Below are 15925 nucleotides of genomic sequence, written 5' to 3'. Positions count from 1 at the left end.
TTTCTCTAGACCTGTGCTGCCCAGGACAGTAGCAAACAGCCACATGAGGCTGTTGAGCACTTAAAATGTGGGCACTGTGGGCCAGGCATGGTGGCTCACACCTGTAATCTCAGCACTTTGGGAGGCTGAGGTGGGTGGATCCCCTGAGGTCAGGAGTTCGAGATCAGCCTGGCCAACATGGTGAAACCCCATCTCTACTAAAAAACTAATAATAATACAGAAATTAGCCAGGCTTGGTGGTAGGCACTTATAATCCCAGCTACTTGGGAGACTGAGGCAGGAGAATTGCTTGAATCCGGGAGCAAAGATTGCAGTGAGCCGAGATCACACCACTGCACTCCAACCTGGGCAACAGAGTGAGACTCTGTCTCAAAAAAAAAAAAAAAAAAAAAAAAAAAAAAATGTGGCCACTGTGAATCAAGATGGCCTGTAAGCATAACACACATACTGAATTTTTTGGAGGGGGAGAGGACAGTGTCTCACTCTGTCACCCAGGCTGGAGTGCAATGATATGATCACAGCTCACTGCATCCTCAATCTCCCAGGCTCAAGTGAACCTCTTGCCTCAACCTCCTGAGTAGCTGGAACTACAGGCATGCATCACCATGCCTTTATAATTTATTGTATTATTTGTTGTAGAGATGGGTTCTCACTCTGTTACCCAGGCTGGGCTCAAACCTCTGGGCTAAAGCAATCCTCCTGCCTCAGCCTCCCAAATTGCTGGGATTATAGGTGTGAGCCACCATGCCTGGCCCACACTGAATTTTGAAGACTTGGTACAAAAGAAAAGGAATGTAAAATATCGCATTAATTTTTATATTGATTATACACTGAAATAATAGTTTATATACATTGGGTTAAATAAAAGTATTTTTAGGATTAATTTTACCTTTTCTTCTTACTTTTTTTCTTGAGATGGAGTCTCACTCTCCTACCCAGGCTGGGATGCAGTGGCACGATCCGGCTCACTGCAACCTCCGCCTCCCAGGCTTAAGCGATCCTCCTGCCTCAGCCTCTTGAGTAGCTGGGACTACATCTTACTTTTTAAGAATGTGACTACTAGAAAATTTAACATCACACATAAGGCTTATGCTATGGTTCGAATGTGCCCCCTCCAAAACTGAGGTGTTACCAGTGTGGTAGTATTGAGAGTTGGGCTCTTTAAGAAGTGATCAGGGACCGGGCACTGTGGCTCACGCCTGTAATCCCAGCACTTTGGGAGGCCGAGGCGGACGGATCACTTGACGTCAGGAGTTTGAGATCAGCGTGGACAACATGGCAAAAGTGTCTCTACTAAAAAAATACAAAACAATTAGCCAGGCGTGGTGGCACATGCCTGTAAGCCCAGCTACTGGGGAGGCTGAAGCAGGAGAACTGCTTGAACCCAGGAGGCAGAGGTTGCAGTGAGCCGAGATTGTGCCACTACACTCCAGCCTGGGCAACAGTGAGACTCCGTCTCAAAAAAGAAAATTAAAAAAAAAAAAAAAAAAAAAAAAAAAGGAAGTGATTAGGCCAGGAAGTCTCCTTATTGGTGGGATTAAGGCCCTTTTAAAAGAAGCTTCACCCTCGTCTAAGAGGAGGGTTTTGTTAGCTCGTTAGCTTGCTCTGTTCTGCCTCTGCCCGATGAGGACTCCGTGTTCTTTCCCTTTGGAGGAGGCCGTCTTCACCATACAACGGAACCTAGCAGCTCCTTGATCTTAGACCTCTCATCCTCCAGAACTGTCAGAAAATAAATTTCTGCTCTTTATCAATTTCCCAGTCTGCGGTATTGTGTTATAGCAGCCACAAGATGGACGAAGACAGCTTGCATTGTATTTCTCTGGACGGCACTGTTCTAGATGGTGTAGTGAATAGACATGAAGTGTGGAGCTACTATAGCAATTTTTTATCCGTATGTGGGAAGTCAGTTTAGGATGAAGGCGAGACCGAAGAAGGCAGAAAAAGAAATCAGCCTCTTTGAAAAAAAGAAAAAATATATTTTGGGCCGGGCGCGGTGGTGCACGCCTATAATCCCAGCACTCTGGGAGGCCGAGGCAGGCGGAACTGAGGTCGGGAGATCGAGACCAGCCTGACCAACATGAAGAAACCCCATCTCTACTAAAAATACAAAATTACCCAGGTGGGTGGTGCATGCCTGTAATCCCAGCTACTCGGGAGGCTGAGGCAGGAGAATCGCTTGAACTCAGGAAGCGGATGTTGTGGTGAGCCGAGATCGTGCCATTGCACTCAAGCCTGAGCACAAAGAGTGAAACTCCGTCTCAGAAACCAAAAAAAAAAAAGTTATTTTGGAGAGATGGAGTCTTGCTCTGTCATCCAGGCTGGAGTGCAGTGGTGCCGTCAGAGATTGCTGTAGCCTTGAACCCCAGCCCCAGCCATAGACAAACCATCTCCGGAGCGCTTGGCTAGAGATTCCCTTTCCTAGGGAATCATAGGTTGGTCTGATAAACACCTAATTAGAAAGTTTTCTGGTTTTCTTTCCCCATAATCAGAGGAAAGGAGTAGGTGCCTAGTCCACCTGGGGGCCAATGATAGTTGTTTCTGTCCGCCTATCCATGGTGCTGTCTCTGCCATCTAGTAACCGGGATGCTGGCGTTGAGTCCAATCATTTCAGTAAAAGTCTCTCGCTGCTCTGTTCCCTTCTTTACATCCTGTAAGTGGACCTGCCTTAGACATCCAGTTTTTCTATTTATGCCCACTGCTTTTGAGATGACATAAGTTGGGGGGAAAGCTGGGTTTTACAGTCAACTCAGCTATTTTCCTGTACATCACCTTCTCGGATAAAAAGCACTTCCCTTCTGGGTGCAGTGGCTCACGTCTTTAATCCCAGCACTTTGGGAGGCTGAGGTGGGTGGATCACTTGAGGCCAGGAGTTTGAGACCAGCCTGGCCAACATGGTGAAAACCTGTCTCTACTAAAAATACAAACATTAGCCGGGCACGGTGGTGCATGCCTGTAATCCCAGCTACTCGGGAGGCTGAGGCAGAAGAATCGCTTGAACCTAGGAGGCGGAGGCTGCAGTGAGCTGAGATTGTGCCACTGCACTCCAGCCTGGGTGACAGAGCAAGACTCCATCTCAAAAAAAAAAAAAAAAAAAAAAAAAAAAGCACATCCCTAATTATGGCTCCTAACCACAGGAGTTATTGGGGCTAGGAAGTTCCAAGGGACAACTATGAAACAAGATGTGAAGCAGGATTTTTCCCATCAGACTGGAATTGTGGCTGAGGCTGAAAGCTGAGGACAAGAGTTGCTAATACCATGAGAAGTTGCTAATAACTGGGAACTAGAAGCATTCCTCGCAGCTTACCAAGAAGTGGAAGAACGGGCTCTGCTACCATCACCCTCCTCACCGTGGATTCTATTAGAGAATACCTGGGTGGGCCTCCGGGCTCAGAATGAGGGGAGAATCTCTCCCCATCCACCAAGGAAAGAAATGCTTCCCTTCCGTGAACCCCAGTGAAGATAAGGTGCTTCTCAGAGAATAGTTTACAGGAAATGAGGGTGCCCACAAGAGGCTGTTGTTTGGGCATCTCATTTCCCGGTTGGACATTGACTTAAGCCACAGATTTACTTGCTGACAGCCCCTGTGCTGGTGTGAGCAGGGACAAGGGAGTTGGGAAGAGGTGGCTGGACTCCAGGAAGGGGTTAGGCAAGGAGCAGCCACAGTCCCAGCACTGGAAATGGAAGGTAGCACCGCCGCCACCCACACAGAGTCAGTTTTGTGAGGGGTGGCTTTGCGGTGCCAACTCAGCTAGGCTGAACTAGACTCCTGTCATTCCCTTTCTTATATGTTTCTGGTTAGGGTTGGCCACAGGAGGAATTTGCATGAGATTTGGATGATGGAAACTCAGCAGCACCTGTGTTTTTGTCTCAGAAGGCCCAGGTGGGTCAGGTTTTAGCGGATGCAATGGGTCCATTGTTGGTGTGGGAAGCAATCTGGCCTAAAGCCCCAGCTCCCATGGGATCACTTCCTTCAGCTTTTCTGAATCCCGAGCCAGGTGCAAGTATGGCTCTGGGCAAGACAGCAGCTTCTCCTGCAGATAGTCTGCGGGCCCGGAGTTGGAGGCTCTGAGATGGGAAGGGGCTGACATGGACGCCAGTGAGAGACAGACAGAAGTCCAGCTGCCTGCCTCTCTCCCAATTTGTGTTCCCCTTTCTTCCCAGCCCCTGCCCTGTGACTTCCAGCTTGGCGCCAGGCACAGGAGAAACAGCTGGACTGAGACGGCTTTATGGCTCTCTGGAGTTGAATCCCTACAAGAAATATCTTGTTCTATCTACATCACACTTAGCAGTTCTGCTTCTTGGACTCAGTGCTGATTGATACTTCTAGGTTACGTGGAGAAACTTGGTACAGTAATAAGAACACAGTCAGATACATGTTCTAATTTCATCTGTTTGGCTGGGCGTGGTGGCTCATGCCTGTAATCCCAGCACTTTGGGAGGCCGAAGCAGGAGGATCACTTGTGTCCAGGAGTTTGAGACCACCCCGGGCAACATAGTGAGCCATCTCCACAAATTTTTTTTTTTTTTTTTGAGGCAGTCTTGCTCTGTCACACAGGCTGGAGTGAAATGGTGCAATCTTGGCTTACTGCAACCTCCACCTCTTGGGTTCAAGTGATTCTCCTGCCTCAGCCTCCCAAGCAGCTGGGATTACAGGCGTGTGCCACCATGCCCAGCTAACTTTTTTTTTGTATTTTTAGTAGAGATGGGGTTTTGCCTCCAGGCTGATCTCGAATTCCTGACCTCAGGTGATCCACCCGCCTTGGCCTCCCAAAATGCTGGGATTGCAGGTGTGAGCCACCACGCCCAGCTCACAAAACATTTTTTAAAATTAGCTGGGTGTGGTGGCATGTGCCTGTAGTCCCAGCAACTTGGGAGGCTAAAGCAGAAGGATAGCTTGAGCCTGGAAGGTTGAGGCTGCTGTGAGCCAAAATCATATCACTGCACTCAGCCTGCACAACAGAGTGAGATGCTATCTCAGAAGAAAAGAGAGAGAGAGAGAGAAAGAAACAATTTCATCCGTTCATCTTTTCAGCTAATTTGCTGTGTGACCTTGGGCATGTCACTTTGCCCACCAAGTCCCAGTTTCATCACTGGTTTAAATAAAGGAGGGTTGGATTAGGTGGTCTGTAAAGATGTTCCCGGATTTAAACATACAAGCAGACACATGATACTAAAGTTTATATTTAAGAGTTTCTGAACTCTTGAAAAGCAGTTGTGAAAATTATGCCCTAACAAAACTATTGCCTACTGGCTAATTCCAAACTTTATAACAATTTTCCCGCTGCTCAGTTATGGTCAACACTTTTTCAGGTGTGGGCAAAACTCACAATTCCTCATTCTCTGGGAACTGCCACCAGGTGCACTGGGGTAGGGCCCTGGCAGCCATGCTGATATTACAGGATACCCTCTGCTCTTGCCTATTGCTGACTGGACCAGAGGCGAACACCTGCTCCAAGGTGGCCTCAGGTCCTCTCCCCTGGGAAATTGAGAATTGGGACCAGGAAGCTGCTCAGTTTGTCCAGGCTGGTGCCTCAACCTCTGGAAACACTGGAGTGGCCAGAGAAGCAGAGAAAGTGTGTCTGAATTGAGAAAGAGAGAAGAATGAAGCACATGCTTCAGAGAAAAGCAAAGACAAGAGCTAGAGAGAAAAAAAAATCCTACCCATTTCTATCCGCATTACTGCCCCTTGTTTCCTTGAGAGGATCTGATTTTATTCCTTCCTTTCTGTTTATGTGAGCCCAGGTTCACCTGTATTACTTGTCTCTAAAGAACTTTGATAAGCCAATAGGAAGATCTATTTTTCTTGATAAAAACTGGCTAAAATTTGATTTGGGGGGAAACACGGTCTCACTCTGCTCCCCAGGCTGGAACCCAGTGGCACAATCACAGCTCACTGCAGCCTCGACCTCGCAGGATTCAGGCAATTCTTCCACCTCAGCCTTCTGAGTAGCAGAGACCACAGACATGTGCCACCACATCTGGCTAATTTTTTAATTTTTTGTAGAAACGGGGTATCCAGGCTGGCCTCGAACTCCTGGGCTCAAGCGATCCACCCACTTTGGCCTCCCAAAGTACTAGGATTACAGGTGTGAGCCACCTCGCCCTGCCTGATTTTATTTATTTATTTATTTATTTGAGACAGGGTCTCACTCTGTCACCCAGGATGGAGTGCAGTGGCACGATCTCAGCTCACTGCAACCTCCGCCTCCTAGGTTCAAACGATTCTCGTGCCTCAGCCTCCCAAGTAGCTGGGATTACAGGTGCACGCCACCATGCCCAGCTCATTTTTTTTTTTTTTTTTTTTTTTGGTATTTTTAGTAGCAGCAGGGTTTCACCATGTTGGCCCAGCTAGTCTTGAACTCCTGACCTCAAACGATCTGCCCGTCTCAGCCTCCCAAAGTGCTGGGATTACAGGCTTGAGCCACCACACCCAGCCTCTGATTTTTTTACTATTGTGCTTCTTCATCCAAAACAGAAATTCTGGTTTTGAAAAAATAGCCTAGCTCTGTTAAAAAGTGGACATTCTTGGGCTGCTGATAATATTATATTTGATGGCAATAGTGACAATGACTTCCACTGTCAGTCTTGTTCTCTCTTTCTATGGCAAACAAGAATTAACCTTCCAACTGAACACTCTCACACAAAAGTTTACTGAGTTGCCAATGGTCCCATATTGGAGCACTGGGCCTGGCTTATAAAGGTAGGGTTCAAGTCCCACTTCTGCCATTTACTGTGTGTGTGCCCTTGGAAAAGTGTGCAAACTCTCTGACCCTCAAATATGTCATCTATTTGTGTTAGTCCATTTTGCATTGCTATAAAGGGGAATAACTGAGGTTAATGCATGAAGAAAAGAGGTTTATTTGGCTCATGGTTCTGCGGGCTGTATAAGCATGGTGCCAGCATGTGCGTCTGGTGAGGGCCTCAGGTGCTTGTACTCATGGTGAAAGGTGAAGGGGGAGCAAGCACAGGGAGCAAGAGAGGAAGGAAAAGGTGCCAAGCTCTTTTTTTTTCCTTGAGACGGAGTTTCGCTCTTGTTGCCCAGGCTGGAGTGCAATGGTGTGATCTCAGCTCACTGAAACCTCCACCTCCCGGGTTCAAGCAATTCTCTTGTCTCAGCCTGCCAAGTAGCCGGGATCACAGGCATGCGCCACCACACCCGGCTAATTTTGTATTTTTAGTAGAGATGGGGTTTCACCATGTTGGCCAGGCTGGTCTCAAACTCCTGACCCTCAGGTGATCCGCCCACCTCAGCCTCTCAAAGTGCTGGGATTACAGGCATGAGCCACTGCACCCGGCCTGGTGCCAGGATCTTTTAAGCAACCAGCTCTCACGTGAACTGATAGAGTGAGCACTTACTCATTACTGCAAGGACAGCCCCAAGACATTCATGAGGGATCTGCCCCCATGATCCCAACACCTCCCACCAGGCCCCACCTCCAACACTGGGGATCACATTTCAACATGAGATTTGAAGGGGACAGACATGAAGCTATATCACTATTAAATAGGGACAATGCCTTCCACACAAAGTTATTGTAACATTTACATTAATTGCTATATGTAAGAAGTGTTTTATAAACCACAAAGCTCTTTACACACATGAATTCTGGATACTGAATATTTGAGTGTGTTGAAATATAGTAGAAAAAACCACAAACAATAGGAGGAAGAGAAAGGAATTATTGTCAGACAATGGACTTCCAAGTGGAGGGCCAAAACCCCAATGGAAAATTCCTTTTTTTGCCCCAATTAATCTAAAATAAGAGTAACAGAAATAACATAGAAATGAGCTCTTCAAGTCTACACTAAGGTAGAACTTCTCTACCAAGAATGTTTTTTAAACATTTTCTTACATTTCTGTGGGTACGTAGTAGGTGTATACATTTATGGGGTACATGAGATGTTTTGATACAGCACACAATGTGAAATAATCACATGAGACAGAATGAGGTATCCATCCCCTCAAGCTTTTATCCTTTGTGTTACAAACAATCCAATTGCACTGTTAGTTATTTTAAAATGTACAATTAAGTTATTACTGACTACAGTCACCCTGTTGTGTCTACCAAGAATGTTGTTCTGTATAAGAATGTGGTTCTTTCCCTCAAGCCAATTGTGTGAACATGGGCTTGAACAGAAACTCTAACAGAGACTCAAAAATGTGTTTTGTTTTGTTTTGTTTTGTTTTGTTTTGTTTTGTTTTGTTTTGTTTGAGAAAGAGTCTCATTCTGTCACTGAGGCTGGAGTACAGTGGTGCAATCTTGGCTCACTGCAACCTCCACCTCCTGGGTTCAAGCAATTCTCCTGCCTCAGCCTCCCAAGTAGCTGGGGTTACAGGTGTGCACCGCCACACTCAGCTAATTTTTGTATTTTTTAGTAGAGACGTGGTTTCATCATGTTGGCCAGGCTGGTCTCAAACTCCTGACCTCGGGTGATCCACCCGCCTAGGCCTCCCTAAGTGCTGGGATTACGGGTATGAGCCACCACACCCAGCCCTCAAAAACGTGTTTTTATAACTTTAGCTCAATGAGATGTGGCATATCATCTATATATACAAACACTTCTGTGAATGTTCATAATTCCCCATATAGAGTACAGACCTACTAGAATCATAAGGATTCCAAAGTGAGAGCCTCACCAGGGAATCCACTGGGAATTCTGACGTGTCCAGGCATGGCTACAGAGCCACAATGTGAGATCACCCAGGATCATCCAGGATCTATTTACATGAAGAACTGAGATGCCACAAGTAGGAGACAATGATGGGAAATGCTGGGACAGAGAGTGCATCCCCCAAGAATAAGCTCATCTGCCTTTGGGGTAACAGGGAGATCTGTTACCTGCTCTTTGCTCCTGATATGTGTGCCTGAGAGGAAGAGGGACTAGATGCACAATACCCTGTGTCTGGAGACATAGTTTTGGGTGCAAGGAGGTCTAGTTTCCCACGGCACCAATATGCTGCATTGGTGTCATCCAGATGCCCTCAGTATCCCTCTCTTGTGACCAAGAACTAAGAAAACGGCTGTATTCCTAGAGTCTGTGGGGGCCAAGTAAGATAGTGTAAGGAGATGCGGGTGGAAGTCATTACCTCCCTGCTTCAATATGGTATCTGTCTATTAAAAGCCAATAAGGGGCCGGGCACAGTGGCTCATGCCTGTAATCCCAGCACTTTGGGAGGCGAGGCTGGTGGATCACCTGAGGTCAGGAGCTTGAGACCAGCCTGGCCAACATGGTGAAACCTCATCTATACTAAAAATATAAAAATTAGGTGGGTGTGGTGGGATGTGCCTGTAATCCCAGCTACTCGGGAGGCTGAGGCAGGAGAATCACTTGAACCCAGGAGGCAGAGGTTGCAGTGAGCCAAGATCGTACCACTGCACTCCAGCCTGGGGGAAAGACGGAGACTCTGTTTCACACACACACACACACACACACACACACACAAAGCCTGGGGGAAAGACGGAGACTCTGTTTCACACACACACACACACACACACACACACACACACACACACAAAGCCTGGGGGAAAGACGGAGACTGTTTCACACACACACACACACACACACACACAAACACACACACACAAAAAGCCAATAAGGCCCATGAAAACAATAGATGTATTGGAAGCAGCACCTGTCTACCATGACATGGGCCAGCTGACCTCTCCAGCTCACATCCCTCATCACCCCTCACTCTGTTTACCTGTCCCATGCCTGTGGCAACTTTCTTTCCATCCAGAAATGAAGCTGTTTACACCCTCTAAAAAAACTCCTGTGACTCAACTCAAATGCAGACGTCTGTATTCTCTATGTCACCGCATCCTGGTGTGCCACGACCCCCTCACAAAGATGATGCAGCCTTAACAGGGCAGAGAGAGTGATCTTCTATTTAATTTTAACTTTTCTAGAGAAGGGATCTTGCTATGTTGCCCAGGTTGGCCTCGAACTCCTGGCCTCAAGCAATCCTTCCTTGGCCTTTCAAAGTGCTAAAATTGCAGGCATGAACCACCACACCCAGCCAGAGCAATCCTTTAAAGTGTGTCATGTCACCTCTCTGCCCAAAACACTCTACTGCTCCCTGTCCTACTCAGAGGAGAAGCCCCAGCCACCTCCTTGTCTTCATCTGTCTTTATTTCTACCTTCAGCATCAGATCCAGGTTTTGTGGAGCCCAAAGCTTATAAAATGGAGAGCTTTTTAAGAGGTACCATCCAAAATAATGTATGAAATTGAATATTTATTACAATCAGAAAATAGAACAGACGAAAAGTCTCCCTGTATTCATCAGGGTTCTCCAGAGGGACAGAACCAATAGGGCAGATATGCAACGTAGGTAAATAAGGGGGATTTATTAGGGGAATTTGCTGACATGATTATAGAGGCTGAGAAGTCCCATGACAGGTATCTGCAAGCTGGAGACCTTGGGATGCTGGTAGCATGGCTCAGTGCAAGTCCAAAGACCTCAGAACCCAAGGGGCCACTGGTGTAAGTCCTGAAGCCAGAAAGCCTGAGGTCCAAGGGCAGGAGCAAGGGGGTGTATCCCAGCTCCAGGAAAGAGAGCAACCAATTTGCCCTTCCTTTGTTTTTGTTCTATCCAGGCCTCTAGCCAATTGGATGGCGTCTGCCCACATTGAGGGTGGATCTTCCCCACTGAGTCCACTCAGGCTCACACGCCAAACTCCTCTGGAAACACCCTCAAAGACACACACCCAAATAATGGAGTATTAGTCTGTTTTCATGCCACTGATAAAGACATACCCAAGACTGGGCAATTTACAAAAGAAAGAGGTTTAATGACTTACAGTTCCACGTGTCTGGGGAGGCCTCACAATCATGGTGGAAGGCAAGGAGGAGCAAGTCACATCTTCTGTGGATGGCAGCAGGCAAAGAGAGAGCCTGTGCAGAGAAACTCCCATCTTCAAAACCATCAGATCTCATGAGACCCATTCACTATCACGAGAAGAGCGCAGGAAAGACCTGCCCCCATTATTCAATCATCGCCCACTGCCTCCCTCCCACAACACGTGGGAATTATGGGAGCTATAAGATGAGATTTGGGTGGAAACACAGAGTCAGACCATATCAACTGCTTTACCAGTTATTAAGGTATTCCTTAATTTAGCTAGGTTGACACCTAAAATTAACCATCACTCCCCAACTCAACTTCCTCTTAGTTGGATCCAGAAAATGTCAAATGCCAAATGTCCAACACCATCCAACTCAGGGGATGTGCAACAGAGGGGAAGTGGTAGTGGAAGGAGACAGCAGTCCCAATCATTTGCAGTTGAAATATCTTATTTCTGCAAAGTTTGCAAAATATATGACCACAGGAGTGCATTGCTAGGGCTCTCTCAGGGCTTGGAGGGCACCGTGCAAGTGACGTGTCCTAAAACTTTGCAGTGAATCCACCTTTCTCTACTTCCTTTTCTATTTTCTCTTCTCCCTAGCCATGTTGGCTTCCTCTGTAGGAAAATGCCAAGTCTGTTCCCTTCCCAAGGCTTTGGCTTTGCTGATCTCTCAGCCCACAATTCCTTTCTCTAAGATATCTGAATATTTCCCTTCCTCATTCCCTTCTGGTCCCTGCTCAAATATCACTGTGTCAGAGAGTCCTTCCCAGACATCCTACATGAAAAATTACCCCCACCACTCTCCACCCCTCTTGCCCTGACACATTCCTCCACCTGGTACATGTCAGCACCTGATAGGACTTCTAGCTATTTGCTGTTTTTCCTCACTAGAATGTGAGGTAGGCAGACTTATCTATTTGACTCATTAATTTATCTCCTGCACCTGTAACAATGCCTGGCCTATAGTAGATGATTGGTAAATACTCATTGAATCAATAAACGTCAATGTTTTATTCACTGCAGGTGTTACTTTGGAAATACTTATTGACAGGCCTTGGTTGGATGGTGTAATTCTGGGGAGCAGGGGGCTTATTTCTCCTTTCATTTATAAATTCACCAAATCTTCTGAGCACCTCATGTTAGGCAGTGGATAGGCAATGATAACAAAAATGGTCCTGACCCCAGCGTCAGGGAATCTGCAGCATATACTACAAAAAGTAGATTTTGGCTGAGCGCAGTGGCTCACATCTGTAATCCCAGTACTTTGGGAGGCTGAGGCAGGCGGATCACTGGAGGCCAGGAGTTTGAGACCAGCTTGGCCAACATGGTAAAACCCCATCTCTACTAAAAATACAAAAATTAGCCAGGCATGGTGGTGCATACCTGTAATCCCAGCTACTTGGGAGGCTGAGGCAGGAGAATTGCTTGAACTCGGCAGGTGGAGGTTGTAGAGAGCCGAGATGGCGCTGCTGTACTCCAGCCTGGGTAACAGAGTGAGACTTTGCCTCAAAAAAAATAGTAGATTTTGATACAAATGTTCATGGGAGGCGGGGTATGCTGAAGATAGAGTCTGAAAGCACTGTGGGAAGCATGGGCTCTTAACAAGAGCAATACTAATAGCTGACATTTATTTTGCACTTCCTATGTGCCAGGCACTGTTACCTGAAAGCAACTCTGTGAGGTGGATAACGCTACGATCCTCATTTACAGATGAGGAAAGGAGGCACAGGGAGGTTATACACCTCGCCCAGGGTCACGCAAATAGTACCTGGCAGAAACAGGATGTGAACAGAGGCAACTTGCTTCTAGAGCCATGCTCTTAGCATTTGGCTATAGAAGGTTTGAGAACCACCCCATCCCCCTCACCTTGTAGATGAAGATCACAACTTTCTTCTTTCCATCTCCAGCATCCTACGCCTGTATGTTAGCTGGGTTGAGCTGACACTCCAACCCTCTGCAGAGTTTACAAGCTCCGGTACTGCCCCCTCCATGCTACTCAGTTACCCATGGCCTTGATATTTGTCATAATCACTGATATTAGTTCAGTAGTTAATCAGTTCACAAAGCATTCTCACATGCCTTATGTATTAGTCTGTTTTCATGCTGCTGATAAAGACATACCCAAGACTGGGCAATTTACAAAAGAAAGAGGTTTAATGACTTACAGTTCCACATGGCTGGAGAGGCCTCACAATCATGGCGGAAGGCAAGGAGGAGCAAGTCACATCTTATGTGGATGGCAGCAGCAAAGATAATGGGCAGGGAAACTCCCCCTTGTAATACCATCGGATCTCATGAGACTTATTTGCTTTCATTAGAACAGCACGGGAAAGACCTGCCCCCATGATTCATTACCTCCCACCAGGTCCCTTCCACAACACATGGGAATTCAAGATGAGATTTGGGTAAGGACACAGCCAAACCATATCACCTTATCACACTTAATGTTTATAGTCATACTAATTGGTAGGTATCAGGATGCCCATTTTACATGAGAAGAAATTGAGAGGATGGGAGAAGGACATTGCCAAGGATGTTGCCTTAGAAGGAGTGGGACCTGGCCAGGTGCAGTGGCTCACACCTGTAATCCCAGCACTCTGGGAGGCCAAGGCGGCCAGATTGCCTGAGGTCAGGAGTTCAAGACCAGCCTGGCCAACATGGTGAAACCCCGTCTCTCCTGAAAATACAAAAAATTAGCAAATTAGCTGGGCGCTATGGTGGGCGTCTGTAATCCCAGCTACTCGGGAGGCCGAGGCAGGAGAAACGCTTGAACCCGGGAGGCAGAGGTTGCAGTGAGCCGAGACTATGCCACTGCACTCCAGCCTGGGCAACAACAGTGAGACTTCATCTCAAAGGAAAAAAAAAAAAGGAGTGGGACCTTTGGAGTAGCCTCATTGGGATTTCTGGTCACAGGCTTGGACTTCACTAGATCTGAAGTCTTGAGCAAGTTCCTCTGCCAGGGAGAGATGGCCAATGCAGGGTTTTTTTCCTAAGCCCAGCCTTGTTACTTTAAGCAGGTTTCTCACCCTTGGCACTCCTGACATTTGTAGGGGGCTATCCTGTGCGCTGTAGGACATATATTAGCATCCCTGGCTTCTACCCACTAGAGGCCAATAGCACCCCCTCTTCCAGTTCTAACAACTAGAAATGTCTCCAGACATTGGCAAATGTCCCCCTAAGGATAAAATTGCTCCTGATTGAGAATCACTGCCTTAAAGACAGGCCAGGGAGGCCAAGAGTCATTGAAGCTCATCCCTAAGGATGTGGGCGTATATCAAGATAGAGCCACCGGGTCTTCCTAGCCTTGCAGCTGATCAAAGCCTTCCTGATCTGCCAGACAGGAATCTACACTTTGCATTTAGCAAGTGTCTTATTATTTAATATTATAAATCTTGTTTTTGTTTGTTTCGTTTTGTTTTTGAGATGGTCTCGCTTTCTAGCCCAGGCAGGTGTGCAGTTGTACAATCTTGGCTCACTGCAGCCTTCGCCTTCAAGTGATTCTCGTGCCTCAGCCTCCCAAGTAGCTGGGATGACAGGTGTGTGCCACCATGCCCAGCTAATTTTTGTGTTTTTAGTAGCGATAGGGTTTTACCATGTTGGCCAGGCTGGTCTCAAACTCCTGACCTCAGGTGATCCGCCCACCTCGGCCTCCCAAAGCGCTGGGATTACAGGCGTGAACCACCATGCCTGATCTTAACATTATAAATCTTTATACTGGGTTCTGCCACCGTTCACCTCATCAGGTGTTGCTGGTATACAGTGATGAGCCTTTCACTGCAGCTGGGAGTGAGGTAAGGGGCGGACCCAGGCATGGAGTTTACAGAGCCAGCGACAGGCTGAAAGGTCTGGCTGATCAGGTGGTTCCAGGGATCATCTGGCCGCGTAGGCCGGTGGATTGGGCCCTAGCAAAGCCCTGTGTGCCTGCTTGAATATTTAATTTTGAGACCTGGGTTCTAGCCATATTTTAGCCATCTGGCTCTGGTGTGGCCTTCATAAAGTCCTAGTTTGCTCCTCCCTAACTTAGGGTCAACTGTACCTGCCGTACTTGCTCAGTTGAGATGAAGCAGGCAGAGGCTCTTTTAAACTGTGTTGCATGTCAGCTATTAATATGAAAAGTATCTGCCCTTCTCCTACAGGCCTACTGACTGTTGCCAGAAACTGAAACATCAGAACATTTCTTGGGGGTTCAGGTATGGTCTGGAACTAATCTGAAATCTGTGCTAGCTTCCTGGAGCTCTGGCCCAGCCTTTCTGAATTTGCTCCCATTCAGGCCTGCCTGTATTAGCTGGCTTGTCTACCTACCTACAGGTTTCCCAGGAACAAAGTCCATGTGAGCTGCAGACCATCTGGAAGAGGGCCAGTAAAATCTGGAACCAGGACTGGCTCCTGGAGTCTCCTGCCAGCCACAAACAGCCCTGGTGACTGGAAGACTGTAGATAGCCCTTACCAGCTTTACTTTAAACAGCAGCTGGGGAAACTAAGGGAATGATGCTGTCCACTTGTGAATTAGCACACGTGGCATGGACTTTATAGTATTGCCTGTAGTTTCTGTAACACTGAATTAACGAGAAATAGTTTAGCTGGGTGCAGCAGCTCATGCCTGAAATCCTAGCACTTTGGGAGGCCAAAGTAGATGGATCGCTTGAGCCCAGGAGTTCAAGACCAGCCTGGGCAACATGGTGAAACCCTGTCTCTAGGAAAAATACAAAAATTAGTCAGGCATGGTAGCGTGTGCCTGTAGTCCCAGTTACTTAGGAGGCTGAGGTGGGAAGATGTCCTGAGGTTGGGAGGTCAATGCTGCAGTGAGCTGAGATTATACCACTGCACTCCAGCCTGGGCAACAGAACAAGACCCTGTCTCAAATTTTTTTTTAAAAGGCAAGAAATGATTTGAAATACACTTCTCTTCTTTCTATATTTTATATGGATGTTAAATTACCACTTTAAATCTGTGTTTTTAGAAATAGTCAAAAAAAAATCTGCCCTTTCTGATGGAGGTTCATTTTTTTTAACGTAGAAAATGTCAAGATTTCCTAAATATACCATTTGCAAATAGCTGGAGATGTCACATTCAGTGTGTA

General features: G+C 46.9%; 1 annotated feature.

Moving 5' to 3' along the window:
• Positions 6702-7201: an enhancer, noted in NCBI's record as "H3K27ac hESC enhancer chr8:30122695-30123194 (GRCh37/hg19 assembly coordinates)". NCBI's record gives its function as "activates a minimal SCP1, AML or CMV promoter by ChIP-STARR-seq in naive H9 embryonic stem cells {active_cell/tissue: H9 hESC(naive)}" and the evidence as "EXISTENCE:reporter gene assay evidence [ECO:0000049][PMID:30033119]".

The sequence above is a fragment of the Homo sapiens genome, chromosome 8, assembly GCF_000001405.40.
Source record: "Homo sapiens chromosome 8, GRCh38.p14 Primary Assembly".
Classification (NCBI taxonomy): Eukaryota; Metazoa; Chordata; class Mammalia; order Primates; family Hominidae; genus Homo; species Homo sapiens.
The sequence above is the reverse complement of the archived record's forward strand: the minus strand, read 5'-3'. Positions and strand labels throughout refer to the sequence as shown.